This window comes from Homo sapiens, chromosome 16, assembly GCF_000001405.40.
Source record: "Homo sapiens chromosome 16, GRCh38.p14 Primary Assembly".
Lineage (NCBI taxonomy): Eukaryota > Metazoa > Chordata > Mammalia > Primates > Hominidae > Homo > Homo sapiens.
Genome location: NC_000016.10, coordinates 72,774,989 through 72,790,709, shown reverse-complemented (window position 1 = coordinate 72,790,709; position 15,721 = coordinate 72,774,989). Strand labels below are relative to the sequence as shown.

The following is a 15,721-nucleotide window of genomic DNA, read 5'->3' as shown; positions in this document are numbered from 1 at the left end:
CTTTACTAAGCTTTTCTGAGTAGAGTCACACATATCTTCTCTGGTGTCTTATGTGCACTGAGGACACTGCATGATGAGATGCTGAAGGAACCTTTCTCCTTGGCTATCCAGTATTAACAGCTGTTTGTCTGGGATTGGCAATTTGAAGCAGTCTTGTTCTTTTCGTCTGAAATCTGAGGGTTTTGATGGTGAACACTACCATGATAGCCAGAAATCTGCAGTCTTCCCCCAAGTCTGGGCTTCAGAGTGCTTTTTCTTGCTTTTTTTTCCTCAGTGTCATGTTATGGAACTCCTTCCCCAGCTTTCCAGCAGGTGAGGTCCAGATGAAGTAAGATTTTGATTTTGCATTTTGGTGTCCTCTGAAGAGATGTATATACCATCAAGTTTCTTGGATATGGTGAATATAGAGGTGTTCTGAGAGCTGTTGCCTGTGGGATCCTCCTCTTTGTTTTCTCAGCTTTTCATCGTCCAGCACACACTGCACCCCACCCCCATGCTGTCCTTACCTACTATCTTGCTAGTCTCAACACACCTGAAGCTTGGAGTACCATCCGTAGCAACACCCTCTTGCATTACCTTGGACCTGGTGACTCAAACCAGGAGATAGCTATGGGTCAGGGAGGGTATTAGGCTCTCGGGTTGGTGAAGGCGTTGCAGGGAGTGGTGGTAGATTAGGGGTATGATCAAGGATGGGATTCTAGCCCATGAGGGCCTGGTGATATGGTCAGACCTTTGCTATCCATAGGCAGTGGTGCTTCGGGTAGGTTGTGATGTCTTGGGAATTGGTGTCAGTATCTTGGGCTATTCCACTTCTGACATGGCTTTTCTGCTTTTCCTGCGGTTGTTTCTCAACCATCTACAGTCCCACTGGCCCTCCTGTGTATCATTCAAACAGGGGCAGGAAAAGAAGATGGTCGTTTCTCCCGCAGATTCCAGATTCCTATTCCTAGGCGGTTATACTGTTGAGTAGACTTGTTGAAGCAGGTCAGCTGGGCCAAGGCATGGAAGCAATTTTCCCTGAATGGATTGTTCTTATTTCTTCCCAGGCCCTTCCTCCACACTTTCCTATTCATCATCTTCTCTCTACCCTCCGAAAGCATCCAGTCAGCTGCAGCAACAGAGGTCAGAGAGGAGGAACACCTGTAGAGCCTGTTTTGTTTTTGTTCATGTGGCCGTGCTAGCTTTCTTGCCTTCGTTCTCTCTTCTCCTGTTGCCGCTCTCCTCCAGATAACTTCTCTGGGGACCTCGTGGCCATACTATTTTTGTGATGAAGGCCTTTGGTGCAAATGGGCCCCAGCTAGAAACAGCTAGCTTTGGGGCCTCTAGACTAATTGCAGTTGGGCAGAGTGAATGGTAGCTGGGAGTACTTGGCAAAGAAAATGTGAACTAGCGGGTGTGGCACATTGGGCAGGAAGGTGTTGGAAGTTGTTTGGCTGGAAGGGGAAGTATGGGAGCTAGCCAGGACTGAATCTTCATTAGAATACAAGGTTGTCCAGCCCTGAGCCTGGTGGGATACTTCTGGAAGTTGTTTGGCTGAAAGGGGAAGTATGGGAGCTGACCTAGGACTGAGTCCTCATTAGAATACAAGGTTGTCCAGCTCTGAGCCTGGTGGGATACTTCTGGAAGTTGTTTGGCTGAAAGGGGAAGTATGGGAGCTGACCTAGGACTGAGTCCTCATTAGAATACAAGGTTGTCCAGCCCTGAGCCTGGTGGGATACTTCTGTTGGAAATGTTCGTTTTGAGAGGATCCTTCAAGCCTTGACATCTCAAACTGTGTGCCAGTGACACCGGTAAAACGTCTTGAGCTTCAGCCCTACCCCTGCCCAGACTGACCGGTGATTTCTGTCTCCATTCCTTTCAGCTTTAACGTCTCCTAAGCCGAACTTGATGGGTCTGCCCAGCACAACTGTTCCTTCCCCTGGCCTCCCCACTTCTGGATTACCAAATAAACCGTCCTCAGCGTCGCTGAGCTCCCCAACCCCAGCACAAGCCACGATGGCGATGGGCCCTCAGCAACCCCCCCAGCAGCAGCAGCAGCAGCAGCAACCACAGGTGCAGCAGCCTCCCCCGCCGCCAGCAGCCCAGCCGCCACCCACACCACAGCTCCCACTGCAACAGCAGCAGCAACGCAAGGACAAAGACAGTGAGAAAGTAAAGGAGAAGGAAAAGGCACACAAAGGGAAAGGGGAACCCCTGCCTGTCCCCAAGAAGGAGAAAGGAGAGGCCCCCACGGCAACTGCAGCCACGATCTCAGCCCCGCTGCCCACCATGGAGTATGCGGTAGACCCTGCACAGCTGCAGGCCCTGCAGGCCGCGTTGACTTCGGACCCCACAGCATTGCTCACAAGCCAGTTCCTTCCTTACTTTGTACCAGGCTTTTCTCCTTATTATGCTCCCCAGATCCCTGGCGCCCTGCAGAGCGGGTACCTGCAGCCTATGTATGGCATGGAAGGCCTGTTCCCCTACAGCCCTGCACTGTCGCAGGCCCTGATGGGGCTGTCCCCAGGCTCCCTACTGCAGCAGTACCAGCAATACCAGCAGAGTCTGCAGGAGGCAATTCAGCAGCAGCAGCAGCGGCAACTACAGCAGCAGCAGCAGCAAAAAGTGCAGCAGCAGCAGCCCAAAGCAAGCCAAACCCCAGTCCCCCCCGGGGCTCCTTCCCCAGACAAAGACCCTGCCAAAGAATCCCCCAAACCAGAAGAACAGAAAAACACCCCCCGTGAGGTGTCCCCCCTCCTGCCGAAACTCCCTGAAGAGCCAGAAGCAGAAAGCAAAAGTGCGGACTCCCTCTACGACCCCTTCATTGTTCCAAAGGTGCAGTACAAGTTGGTCTGCCGCAAGTGCCAGGCGGGCTTCAGCGACGAGGAGGCAGCGAGGAGCCACCTGAAGTCCCTCTGCTTCTTCGGCCAGTCTGTGGTGAACCTGCAAGAGATGGTGCTTCACGTCCCCACCGGCGGCGGCGGCGGTGGCAGTGGCGGCGGCGGCGGCGGTGGCGGCGGCGGCGGCGGCGGCGGCTCGTACCACTGCCTGGCGTGCGAGAGCGCGCTCTGTGGGGAGGAAGCTCTGAGTCAACATCTCGAGTCGGCCTTGCACAAACACAGAACAATCACGAGAGCAGCAAGAAACGCCAAAGAGCACCCTAGTTTATTACCTCACTCTGCCTGCTTCCCCGATCCTAGCACCGCATCTACCTCGCAGTCTGCCGCTCACTCAAACGACAGCCCCCCTCCCCCGTCGGCCGCCGCCCCCTCCTCCGCTTCCCCCCACGCCTCCAGGAAGTCTTGGCCGCAAGTGGTCTCCCGGGCTTCGGCAGCGAAGCCCCCTTCTTTTCCTCCTCTCTCCTCATCTTCAACGGTTACCTCAAGTTCATGCAGCACCTCAGGGGTTCAGCCCTCGATGCCAACAGACGACTATTCGGAGGAGTCTGACACGGATCTCAGCCAAAAGTCCGACGGACCGGCGAGCCCGGTGGAGGGTCCCAAAGACCCCAGCTGCCCCAAGGACAGTGGTCTGACCAGTGTAGGAACGGACACCTTCAGATTGTAAGCTTTGAAGATGAACAATACAAACAAATGAATTTAAATACAAAAATTAATAACAAACCAATTTCAAAAATAGACTAACTGCAATTCCAAAGCTTCTAACCAAAAAACAAAAAAAAAAAAAAAAAGAAAAAAAAGAAAAAGCGTGGGTTGTTTTCCCATATACCTATCTATGCCGGTGATTTTACATTCTTGTCTTTTTCTTTTCTTTTAATATTAAAAAAAAAAAAAAAGCCCTAACCCTGTTACATTGTGTCCTTTTGAAGGTACTATTGGTCTGGGAAACAGAAGTCCGCAGGGCCTCCCTAATGTCTTTGGAGCTTAAACCCCTTGTATATTTGCCCCTTTTCAATAAACGCCCCACGCTGATAGCACAGAGGAGCCCGGCATGCACTGTATGGGAAAGCAGTCCACCTTGTTACAGTTTTAAATTTCTTGCTATCTTAGCATTCAGATACCAATGGCTTGCTAAAAGAAAAAAAGAAATGTAATGTCTTTTTATTCTCAGGTCAATCGCTCACACTTTGTTTTCAGAATCATTGTTTTATATATTATTGTTTTTTCAGTTTTTTTTTTTTTTTTTGTTCCAGAAAAGATTTTTTGTTTTGTTAACTTAAAAATGGGCAGAAAGTATTCAAGAAAAACAATGTGAACTGCTTTAGCTTTCTGGGGATTTTTAAGGATAGCTTTTCTGCTGAAGCCAATTTCAAGGGGAAAAGTTAAGCACTCCCACTTTCAAAAAAAAAAAAAAATAATAACCCACACACACAAAGAGTGTTGAGGACTTGTAGCTTAAAAAAAATAAGTTTTAAAAACTGACTTTCTGTATTTATGATAGATATGACCATTTTTGGTGTTGAGTAGATTGTTGCATTGGAAATGAACTGAAGCAGTATGGTAGATTTAAAAGGAAAAAAAAAAAAAAACCTTTTGTGTACATTTAGCTTTTTGTATGGTCCAGCTGACAGCTCCTCATTTGATGTTGTCTTGTTCATTCCTAGCAGATGATAGATTGCAATCCGTTGATTCGCCTAAGCTTTTCTCCCCTTGTCCCTTAATTCCACTTTCTCTTTCTTGTCCCTTAATTCCACTTTCTCTTTCCTTCTCCCACCTCCCGTCCTATAATCTCCCACTTAAGGTAGCTGCCTTCATTTCTTAGAGGGAGCTGCAGAATTATTTTATAAAACTAAAGAAAGAATTTCAAGGGATTCTAGGGGTCATTAGGATCCTCACAGATTATTTTTGGTTGGGGAGTTGAAACTTTTTAAAGGCATATAATTCTAGTTACCTGTGTCTGTTAGCTTTGTGCATTTATTTTTTATTTATCCTTCTTTTGGCTTTTTTTTCTTTGTACCCCTTCTTTTCCTCCTTGTTTGGTAGGAGCTTCAAATATTCTTTTTTTTTCTATACTAAAGGATTTGTTTCCATTTGTGTAATTGGCTGTGTACTTTTCTTTTCTAAAAAAAGTTTTTGGTTAGGGATTTGGTTTTTGGTTTTGTGTTTGTTTTTTCTTTCCTCTCTCAGAAAAAAAAATTTCATGCTTTAAATAAAATCCAAAGACACACCCTTTCACTGCTGATGCAGAAAAAAGGGAAAGGGTTCTTGTTACTTGAGAATTTGTTTCTGATTTAAACAAACAAGACTTAGTTTAATAAAAGAAAGAGAAAAACAAAAGATTCCCAGGTTGTTATGTGCTTCTTCTGCAAGCAGAGAGGCAAATGTTAATGACAATTCCATATACCAAAAGACACATTTTTTACTTCAAAGTTTTGTCCTTGTGTTAGGCAGTCTGAGCAGCGAGTGATCCAGAGCGCAGCCAACAAAGCAGCAGATAGCAGTGTACAGAAAGCAAAAAAGGAACTGTATGTGAGGCACTTGTTTCTGTTAATATCCATATTCCTGTTAACACACACCCTTTCTCATGTAAAAAGAAAAATAAATAAATGGTCTGAACTTTGAAAACTTTGTGCTGCTAAAACATAGATTTTGGAGACAAATAAATAGATGCTTTGCTGTTTCACTTTCATAGCTAAACATCAACAGAAACCATCTCCCCTTGCCCCCAAAGTGTGAAATCCTTCTTCCCTTCGTTTTCTTCCTTATGTTTCAAAAGGGAACTTTGAAGACTGTGAATACAGGTTCCATTGGTCACCTTTCGGGCTTCTTTCCCCAGTGCTGAAGCCACTCATCGACTTTGCAAAAGACTGGAGCATTCCAAGATCTGAAAATGGATTTTTTTTCTTTTTTTCTTTTTTAGCCGGGACTATTTTATTTTTATGAATTTGTTTTTAGTTTAATGAAATAGTAGATCCTGAAATGTTGTACATATTTCTAACTAGGCTGATGCACAGTGCAAATTCCTTTTTTAATTGTTTTTTTTAAGTAGAAATACTAAAGAAAGAATACCATCTAACTATTCATACCAGTATCCAGTTGTAGCATAAGGTGTCAAAAGCAAGTACGCAAAACATTTACTGTTTTAACAAGCTATTTCCTTTTAACAAGAAATCTTGTATTTCTTCCTGTGTTTGAGATGAACATTTTTAAATTTTAAAGTTGTACAGTTTTTTGTTTTCCATTATTTTATCTTGTTTGTAACTCTATGAAATATATATATATATATTTTTTGCCATTTAACTGTTGTATGTTACTCTGTGTCTGTACCATATAGAAAAAAAATTGTTTTTGTTTTTGGTTCTCTATGTGATATCAGTTAACAATGTAACACTAGCTTTACCTGTCAAATTCTGCTAGGTCTTCTCTGAAAACGTTGTTTTTAAAAATGATATTGCTTGGTAATAGTGCAATTTCTATCCTTTTCCCTCCCCCCTCAACTTTTAAGTTCTTTTCTTTATAATTTTGCTGCCCCCTCCCTGATGGTTTGGGTTTTTGTTTTTGTTTTTGTTTTTTTTTTTCATGGAGCTACTATGCCATCCTCCCTCTGTGAGGCAGAGTGACTGTCAGTGTTTTGTTATGCCATGCCTTGAGCTGTGGGTGTTTGGCGACAATAAGGTGGTTGAATAGATTGGCTGAGCACACTTCCACCCACCTAGTGTTCTCAGAGGGGTTATGTGATTGTTTCAACCTGGAGTGGGTTGCACCCTTAATGCTTTCCTCTGCAACTAAACCGCCCACATATATGTTCATTGAAAAAAGTAAGAATAATTCTCAGCACTAACCCAGAAGTAGCAAAGCAGTCAGTGATGGTGAACATTAGAGGTCAAACATGAGTTAGATGTTTGTGGGCTGACAGCCATCGTGGCTATGACCAGTACTATTTACAAAGCATGAATTCACTACAATGCTCAACTGTTTGTTTAGCTTTATCTCACTTGGGGAATTTATTCCTGTCTGCTGCATTGTAGGTAGCTGGGTAGGATATATTTCCACTTGCTTTTTAAATTAGTTCTTCACCTCCATTGACACTCGTTTTTTGGTTTTCTCCCTATAGTGTGGGTTGGTGCTAGACACCAGTCTGACCCACAGAATGGGAGTTATTTCATCCATCTTTCCTCCATCCTTCCAAAAACCACATATCTACACAAGGAAAAATTTAATACATCTAGGAATTTTTTTTTTAATTACAAGCTATTTAAAGAGATGAATGTGGCCAAAGTTTTACACAATTGAAAATAAAGTAAAACAGACGGCATGTGTTTAAACCTGAGTTTATCAGGCATGGCAGGAAGTTGCAGGAGAGAGAGGCAGTGACCCAAGCCAGTGCACTTGATGTTCATGGACATATATTTTTTTTAAATAATAAATTAAAACATTTTAAATAGAAGCATAAATTGAGTTGTTTGTTGGCGCTGAGATACTGCCCACTGTGAAACAAAGCTTTGACTAGTTTTTTGTTTGTTTACTTTCTTCAGGGGGGAGGGGGGCAAGTTTGGGTAGGAAAGAAAGCATAAATGAACGTGACCCTGAGGTGAAGAGGTATATGAACAGCCTTTGCAATGTACAAAAAGAAAAAAAAACAAAAAACAACAAAAAAAATAGAGCAAGTGAAACCAAAAATGATGTTCTTGGTGTTTTTCTATAATGTAGTCTTGTTAGCTTTTTTGTTACTGTAACAATGCTGATCTCGAACTGTACCAAAATACATGGAGACTAACAAACAGAACCACATGGAACTTTCAAACTGAAAAAAAAATTTGTCACAAAAACTTTGTTGTCATAGTTAAGTTGATTGTAGATGGTAATTGAATATACTCCTTTGAAAATATTTCATCAAGTATGTTTCCTGCTCATTGTGATACATTAAAAAAAAAATATGAGCAAAAGCTCCTGTCTCTGTTACCACATTTGTGCACATGCATGTGTGTGTGCAGGAGAGAGAGGCTGATGGCTGGCAAAGTATAAATGTGAATACCTTGAGGTTGTGTGTGCAGGGAGTACTTATCCCAAGGTACAAAAGGATGTACACGAGCCCTTTAGTGTTTCTAAAGACGCTTGTATTTCCCATCTCCTGGGGCTCATGAATGTCAGAAGTTTGGGCCATGATGCCGTCTGCGTTTCTTCATTGGGAGGGGTGAGTCTGATATCTTGGACGATATTTGGCCCTAGAGTGCCCTAATAGCAACTAGATTTTTAATTCAAATATTTATATGAAAGTTTTTGATGCTTGACACAATTGCAGGCAAAAAAGTTTTACTGATTGATAGCCATGAGAAAGGTAGGTTCAACTTTTTTGAAATGGGAATTGGATCTAGTGTTTATGACAGAAAGATATGAACGGTAAGTTGAACTAATGGATAACTGACTACATTTACCTGTCCTAGCAAAAGACTTTTCTAAACCTCTGTTAGAGCAGAATTTGAGAGGCCCAGTCTGCACAACAGCAGTATCAGTAATGTCTGCATACAAGAGATGATTCAGTCCTCTTACAAAAACCCTCCCCTACCACAGCAAATGCTTGAACTTCATTAATAAGGAATGCCTCCAAGATCAGGCCTGAAGACCTTCCATTCATCTCTAATTTATAGCCACAGCTAATAAATACTTTACTTTACTTTTAAAACTTTAGCGGGTGGGCCTAGATGACATTGCAGACTGGCTATGTCCTTGCAAGGTCTACAGCACCTGCCCTCCGTCAAAAGGAGTATTTTCTTCCCCAGGAGTTGAGCTACAAAATCCTCTTCTATTGGCTCAGCCAGCCATTTTTCTTAGTTTCTGCAGCAGGCATTCAAAAAGTAGTGACCCTATTAACTCAAATTTTAAAAGAATTCTACAACTGACACTGGCATTACTAGTGCTCAGGGAGTTCCCTGGCCAGCGCTGGAACCTCTATGTCAAACAGGTATTGTCACTGTCCCTAATGAAATCCAGTCTTTCCCCAAGCGTTGTACCTTTCTTTTCGGTGTTCCTGCAGAAGTGGATGGCTTCAATCTCGGTATGTTTTCTTGACACCCAGTTAACGTTGCTGATCTCTCTTCCCACCCTGTGAAAAGGTACAGTGGGATAAAACTTGTTGAGACCCAAAGCCACGTCTGCCTTTCTAAACTATAATTATTTTAGGATCTGGCAGGATTGCATTGAAACATTTTAAATGGAACTAGTTTTGCAGAGAGGTGTTGCTGCTTCAGCTCTTTGGAGGAAGGTGACTACAATTCAAATTCTCCTACAGATAAATTTCTAACAAGAAAATAAGACAAAACTTTATTGATGGTTGAGCCCTTTGTATCAGAGAATCTCTGAACACCTAAGTTACATTAAGGAAGGGCTGGGTAAAAGACTGAAGCTCTTTCTGTTACTGGAAAATCTGTTTTTCTTAAGGGAAAAGAAGTCTTCCAGTCTGGCTTCAGTATCATCCTCATATGGATGAATTAATGGCTTTCTCTCCCTTGGAAAATGAAATGGCACTATCTGAAAATGGCAGATATGTGTTAGGTAGCTGTTTCTAATTCTGCTTTAAAGAAACGTCTGTAGCGCCTAACCCCTCCCTGTTACAGACTAATGACCTTCCAAACCTTACTTTTAACAAGTTTAGACTTTAAGTTACAAGAGCACATGCAGTTTAAGAGTCAAGTTGAAGGATGAGAATTTTGCACCTGCTGCTCTGCTCTGCAGCCTTACAGAGTGTGCAGCAGGACAGATGTGCTCACTCAGCCTCTGTACATTACTGCTGGGGATGAAACAGCCAAGGTTCTGGAAAAACTTGCAAAGAAATAAGTGCTCTCAGAACCACTGAGGAAGAGGCAGTTTTCCATTCCTTACTTCATGATGAAGGTAGGTATTTTCCTTCCCTCCTTGTTTCATTCTTTTCTTAAACTAGAGGCATCTGTTTTTAGGATTCCTAGTCAGTAAGCTTGGGTTCCTCTGAATCTGTCTTCTTGAGTTTTTAAATTACAAGCAACATAAATAAATTTGCTTTTGATCCTTTATGTATGTTCACTTCTTATTCTATGTAGAAGAGATGAACAAAGAGGCTATTTAATTAAACTTTTCAATCCCTTATTAACATGGGAATGAAAAATCTCGGATAAACTGTTTTAATTTTGGGCCAAGATCCCTTGGCCTGAGAAGTGAGTGCTGAGCAGTAACTAATAGTAACAATGGAGAAAGGCAGCGGGGGCTATTCTCTACCTCTGCAATGTTCACAGCTTTTTTTTTTTAACATCATTCTTCCTTGCCTTCCTACTTAATACACTACTCTCCTACGCCCTCTCATACATTGCTGCTCTTTTAATTCCTGTGTATGCCTTATATTTGCATAACACTTGTAAAAATATTTTGTAAAATTACATACTTCTTGTTTGTTCCTCAAATGATCTGTAAGGTAGACAAGGTGGGTGACATTTATCCCCAGTATTCAGGATAGTGAGGTAATGAGGGGAGAAGGCACTAACCAGGTGTTTAGCCTTCATCCAGTGCTCTTCCCCCATCACACTATTTCTTGAGAGACTACAGAAGAGTGAGAGTAGGGGCTCCAGAGTCAGACTGACAGGTTTCAAATTCTGGCTCCATCATGGTGACCTTGATTTAGCTATTTATTCCCACTGTGAAATGAGGGTAATGGTACCTGTTTCATAGAGTTGTGAATTTTAAATAAATTAATATACGTAAAATGCTTAGGACACCACCTGGTACATACTAAGTGCTAAAAATCGGCTGTTACTATCAGTCATTATGACCTCTCCACCTCTCCTTTCTGTAGGCCCCTTGGAACTGCTGCTTTCTAAACTTGGCTTTCCTTCACAGAGGTTTGGGAACTGCAGCTGTAAAGTTAAGTGCCATCAAGCCTCTGTCATACATTTATTTCTGACATTTTCCTGTCTATACATATATCAGAGGGTGCAGAGATCCTTTAGGAGGTTTCTGCTCACGAGTTGTACAGGAGTATGGTATAGGAGTTTGGGTTATAGTATTTCAATGCCCACCAGTAGTAATTAATTTGGACATGAGGAAAAGATGGCTTGTAGTTTGCTTTTGTTTCCAAGACAATATGTATGTCTGCTTCACCATGCCTTGAAAGATGAGCCCCTTAGATGTACGGGGTTACAGAATAGGGAAAACAGAATATGCTGTGACAGTTTGCCCACTACCTGATTTGAGGTGGTTCAGATGTGCAAGTTGAGAAGTGTAGCATCTGAAATGAGACTCCGCATGAATTAATTGTAGGTGAAACAAAATTGAAAGGGGAACACATGCAAAAGAATGCAGCAAGAGGATCTCTTCACCCCTAGACCCAGGAAGAGGTTTTTAAAATACTATTATTGGAGTAAGCTGCAAAATAAATATTTAAAAGACGCATGGAAAAAAAAATGGGTAAAAACTAAATCAGCAGAGAGAAAAGACTCAATTAGAGTGTTTCTATGATAGCCTCTGCAGGTAAGAACTCATCAAGCTTTAGGATACAGGCTTTAGGAGGCCCTATCTGTGAACTTTGTCTATTTTTAATCAGAACAAGGATGGCCTCAGAAAGAAAGTTGCCAATATTGATATCAGAGGGCTAGTAAAGACCTCTTTACTAGAGAATGACTGGTGGGTGATTTTTCTTTTTCTCTGAGGATAACAACCCATAAATGTAGCTTTGTCATACTGCCTGTAGATAGGACATCGTCATACAGTGTCTTTGTTACATGGTTGTAAGTTTGACACTTTGAACAGTTAGCAAAGTGTGATTTGTATTCAGCTTAATTTATTTTTTTTCTTTGAGTACTTTAAAGGTAGTGCTCCACTGGTGCTTCATTTGCATGGTTTCCAGTAACAAATCTGCTATCATCCTTATTTTTTATGTATTTTTTTCTCTAGTTGCTTTTAATTTTCTCTTTATCACTAGCTTTATCACATCACAATTTCATTATGATGTGCTTTGGTGTAGTTTCATTCATGTTTCTTGTGCTTATGGTTTGTTGAGTTCTTGGATCTGTGGGGAATTACTTTTCATCAAAATTGGAAGATTTTTAGCCATTATTTTTCAAACACATTTTGTCTGTCCCTTCTCCCTTCACTTCCCCTGCCACCACCCCCACCCTGCCCCCAAAGGGATGCCAATTATATAGTTATTAGGCCACTTGAAGTTAACCCATTACTTACTGATGCTCTAAGTTTTTCATTTGTTTGTTTGGTTTCTTGTTTGTTTGCTTACTCTTCTCTCTGTGTGTTTCCTTTTGGATAGTTTCCAATGCTATGCCCTCAAGTCCACTAATATTTTCTTCTAATCTGCCATTAATCCCATCCAGTGTATTTTTTCATCTCAGATATTAAAGTTTTTATCTTTAGAAGTTTAAGTTGGGTCTTTCAAAATACCTTTCATGCCTCTCCTTAAATTTTGAACATATGAAAAACAGTTACAATAATTGTTTACCATCATCCTCTGCTAATTCTAACATCTGTGTAAATTCTGAAACAGTTTCAGTTGATTGTTCTCATTAAGGCTATTGTCTTTCTGCCTGTTTGTATGCCTGCCAATCTTTGATTGGCTACTAGACATTGTAAATTTTACCTTGTTGGGTCCTGGATATTTTTGTATTCCTATAAATTTCCTTAAGCTTTGTTCTGGGATGCACTTAAGTTATTTGGAAATATTGTGATCCCTTTGGGTCTTGTTTTTGTTTCGAGCAGAACCAGAGCACTATTTACTCTAGAGCTAATTATTCGCCACTACTGCAGAATGATCGTGCTGATGCTCTACTCAAATGTCCCATGAACTGTTCCCCATCTTGTGTGAGCATCAAATATTGTTCCCTTTTATGCTTTCGGTTCTTTCCAGGGCCAAAAGTAATTGGTACTTTTCTGAATACTTATGAGGGACCCCATGAAGATCTCCAGGTTTTCATCTTTCCTGTGGCACTTTGTCCTAACAATTCTAGCTGCTTTGGTCTCCCTAGACTCAGCTTTATCTCTTCAACTCAGGGAGTCTGCTGGGCTTCACTCAGGTTCCTCACCCTGTGCTGTGGCCTGGAAACTTTCAAGGCAATAAGGTGGGATAATCATAGGGCTCACCTTGTTTGTTTCTCATCTCTCTGGGATCACTGTCCTTCACTGTGTGATGTCTAGTACCTTGAAAACCATTCTTTTATATATTTTGTTCTGTATTTTTTTGTTGTTTCAGCTGGGAGGGTACATCTGGTCTCTATTATTCCATCTCTGCTAGAAGCTGAAATCAAATTTATTTTTTAGATATATGTGGTAAGAGTCCTGCATACCTTTCCAAAGTGCTACCAACACTTAGGAAATTTCCCAAAAAGTTTGAACACAGGAACCTGACGTTCCCAGCAGACTTCTCTGGACATAAGGTGCTGATTGACCTCTTAAGATTAAGGTTGCAACTAATTCATCCTTTTGCTTACAATGATCAGAGATGGAAGAAAGGTAGGCAAACATATGAATTCTTCTAGCCACCTTTTTTTGCTTTGCCATAATGCCACATAGAGTGGGAAAACTGTCTCTTAGGTTTTGAAGTTGTAAGCCAGCCCAGAAATATGAGGGAGCAGATGTATGACTGACCCTAAAACAATATATTAGCTCTTTCCCCTTAACTACAAGAGTTATCACTATTCATAAAGTTATTCTAGCCTTTTTAAAAAAACACATTTCAATGTCTTCCTTCACACAGATATTTTACAGGCTAACCAAATGTGGCTCAAAGAAATCCATTGATTTGAAAGTATAGCTCTCACTCTGACGTGAATTCACTACACTGAGTAATATAAAGGAGTGAGAAAAGTTAGACCCCAGCAGATGCTAGTCATTTTGGCTAAACCTAAATAATGTCTTCTGTATGTTTATTTATTTTGCAAAACTTAGTTCCCACTTAAATTGGGCATACAATACATCCATGATAAGTGAAATTCTTAAAGTGTTAACTCATTACCTGCTTTCATAACTCAGTATTTGTTCCAGGCTACCTTTCTCACTATACTTATCTGTGGATAATCTGTTACACCAAAACCAGCCTACCTTCCAAACACAACCTGTACTTTCCCCTCTACCTTTACAGGCTTATCTAATATCATTTGTTCCATGACATTTACTCTCATCATATCTTCCCAATCCCTTTTCTGATTCCTTACAGTGGCACATGAAATATCTTGTTTGGCAGTGATTCATGCATGTGTCTTATCCTTAGGTAGCCTGATAAACTGCATTTACATTGAATGTTCCTGTAACTGAGTAAATTAATTAAAGAATGAATGAAATAAAGGGTATTCACTCTCATCTTTATGCTAAGGGGGGAAAGGTCTTAAGTGAATGAATGGGTATATATGGAATTATATAAAATTAGGATGGAATGGTTAAAAATATTTTGTCCCCAAACCCTCTGTAAAGTAGAAGGAGAGAGACATTTTTCAGTAAGCAGAGGAGTAATGGAGAATCGAAATCAGTTTAAAAATTAAATTGGACAGATTAAAAACTATGCTAGGTAAACATTTTAAGGGAGAAAATGATTACAATAAAAAACAGTCTAGATATTTGGAAGTACCAAACAAAATCCTTTATAGCTGTCTCCAAGTTGAAGGGTGGTGTTAAATACTATTTGAAAGGAGTTACATGGTTATGTTTTTCTAATTAAAATAGAAATGTTTGTAGAATATTTGAAAGCTAGGCCTTACCCTAAACCTAGAAAAAATACCAGAATATAACCCTAATAGAGAGTTAGATAATTAAGAAGTCTGAAATCTGCCTTCAGTCTTTACTAGCTGGTGGATTAGGGGAAAGAAAAGATACCTGGATTTTTCCTTTTTTTTTAAATAGAGACATGGTCTCACTATGTTGCCCAGGCTTGTCTCAAACTCCTGGCCTCAGGCAACCCTCCCACCTCAGCCTCCCAAAGTGCTGAGGTTACTGTGTTCAGCCACATGAAACATTTTTATGATGTTTCTATCTGTAAAATCTCATACCAATAAAATTTCCATGTCATGTATAAATGCAATAGAAAGAAATTGAGTACAGAAAAGAGAGATGCAGACTTCTTGAGCTCCATTTAGTGGAGCTACGTGATCTGGAAGACTACAAGAGTTTTTCATACTCCAATTGTGGGGACAGGGGGCTTGGGGCAAGGCAAGGGATCTCTGGTAAGATCTGAAAGGGATGAAACTGAAGTTCCCTTTTAGGACAAAACCCCACAGTAAGAAGAAACTACAGGCAAGATAATTCAAATTGAGCAAGACAGGGGCATGAGAGACTGAAGATAAAACAAAGGGAGGGGAAGAGACCAAGAATCCTCGGAGAATGAGGCCATGTTCTTGAATGTTTCATGAAAACAACATAAAGCTAGCAGGACCACTGGAACTGTGAAGCTAAAAAAGTTACCCCAACCTATCTGTTCCTCCTAAAATTCAGAAAACTAGTTACACATGAAAATGACCAACAGAAAAGGACTGTTGTTGAATTCCATAAAAATTTATTATAAGAAAAAATGGTAAAGAGCAGAATAACCTTCTTGCAGTTAATGAAAGACATGCCTTTAAAATAGATAAGTTATATAGCCAAATATTTCAAAATGAGCCAATGAAAAAGTTTTTAAAAGATAAAAGATATAAAAGAACAGCATCAGAATTAGAAAAATCTACAAAATTATCATTTTTCTTGAATCCATCAGAGAGCTGAGGTTAGATAACAATGAAGAAAACTGAATTCCAAAAAGGAGCAAGCCCTTTCAGGAAGAAAGAAGACTCACAACTATCTTACCTTTAGCACAGCATAGGAGAAAGGGCCACTCTAAAAATCTATAA

The 15,721-nt window shown here is 40.8% G+C and overlaps 1 protein-coding gene and 1 long non-coding RNA gene across 14 annotated transcripts in view, besides 1 other annotated feature; one reads left to right on the top strand and one right to left on the bottom strand.

Annotated features, from left to right (window-relative positions):
* Nucleotides 1–7,825, top strand: part of ZFHX3 (zinc finger homeobox 3) — a 1,109,046-nt gene extending 1,101,221 nt beyond the window's left edge. For all 10 annotated transcript variants that reach the window (NM_001386735.1, XM_047434166.1, NM_001164766.2 and 7 more), the window contains one exon: nucleotides 1,862–7,825. In NM_001386735.1, the coding sequence (NP_001373664.1) occupies nucleotides 1,862–3,546 (1,685 nt within the window). In that variant the 3' untranslated portion in view covers nucleotides 3,547–7,825. The remainder of the gene's footprint in view (nucleotides 1–1,861) is intronic.
* ZFHX3-AS1 (ZFHX3 antisense RNA 1) overlaps nucleotides 1–15,721 on the bottom strand; it is a 156,522-nt gene that overhangs the window by 30,945 nt on the left and 109,856 nt on the right. The window contains exons 4-5 of one of the 4 annotated variants that reach the window (NR_171705.1): nucleotides 8,891–8,982; nucleotides 3,123–3,547 (exon numbers count right to left, since the gene is read on the bottom strand). The exons of 2 other annotated variants lie outside the window; for them this stretch is intronic. This is a non-coding gene — a long non-coding RNA (ZFHX3 antisense RNA 1). Of the gene's footprint in view, nucleotides 1–3,122; nucleotides 3,548–8,890; nucleotides 8,983–15,721 lie in introns of those variants that run through there. One more of the 4 variants, NR_171703.1, reaches the window with a different exon arrangement.
* Nucleotides 1,577–2,192: an enhancer, noted in NCBI's record as "H3K27ac-H3K4me1 hESC enhancer chr16:72822417-72823032 (GRCh37/hg19 assembly coordinates)". NCBI's record gives its function as "activates a minimal SCP1, AML or CMV promoter by ChIP-STARR-seq in naive H9 embryonic stem cells {active_cell/tissue: H9 hESC(naive)}" and the evidence as "EXISTENCE:reporter gene assay evidence [ECO:0000049][PMID:30033119]".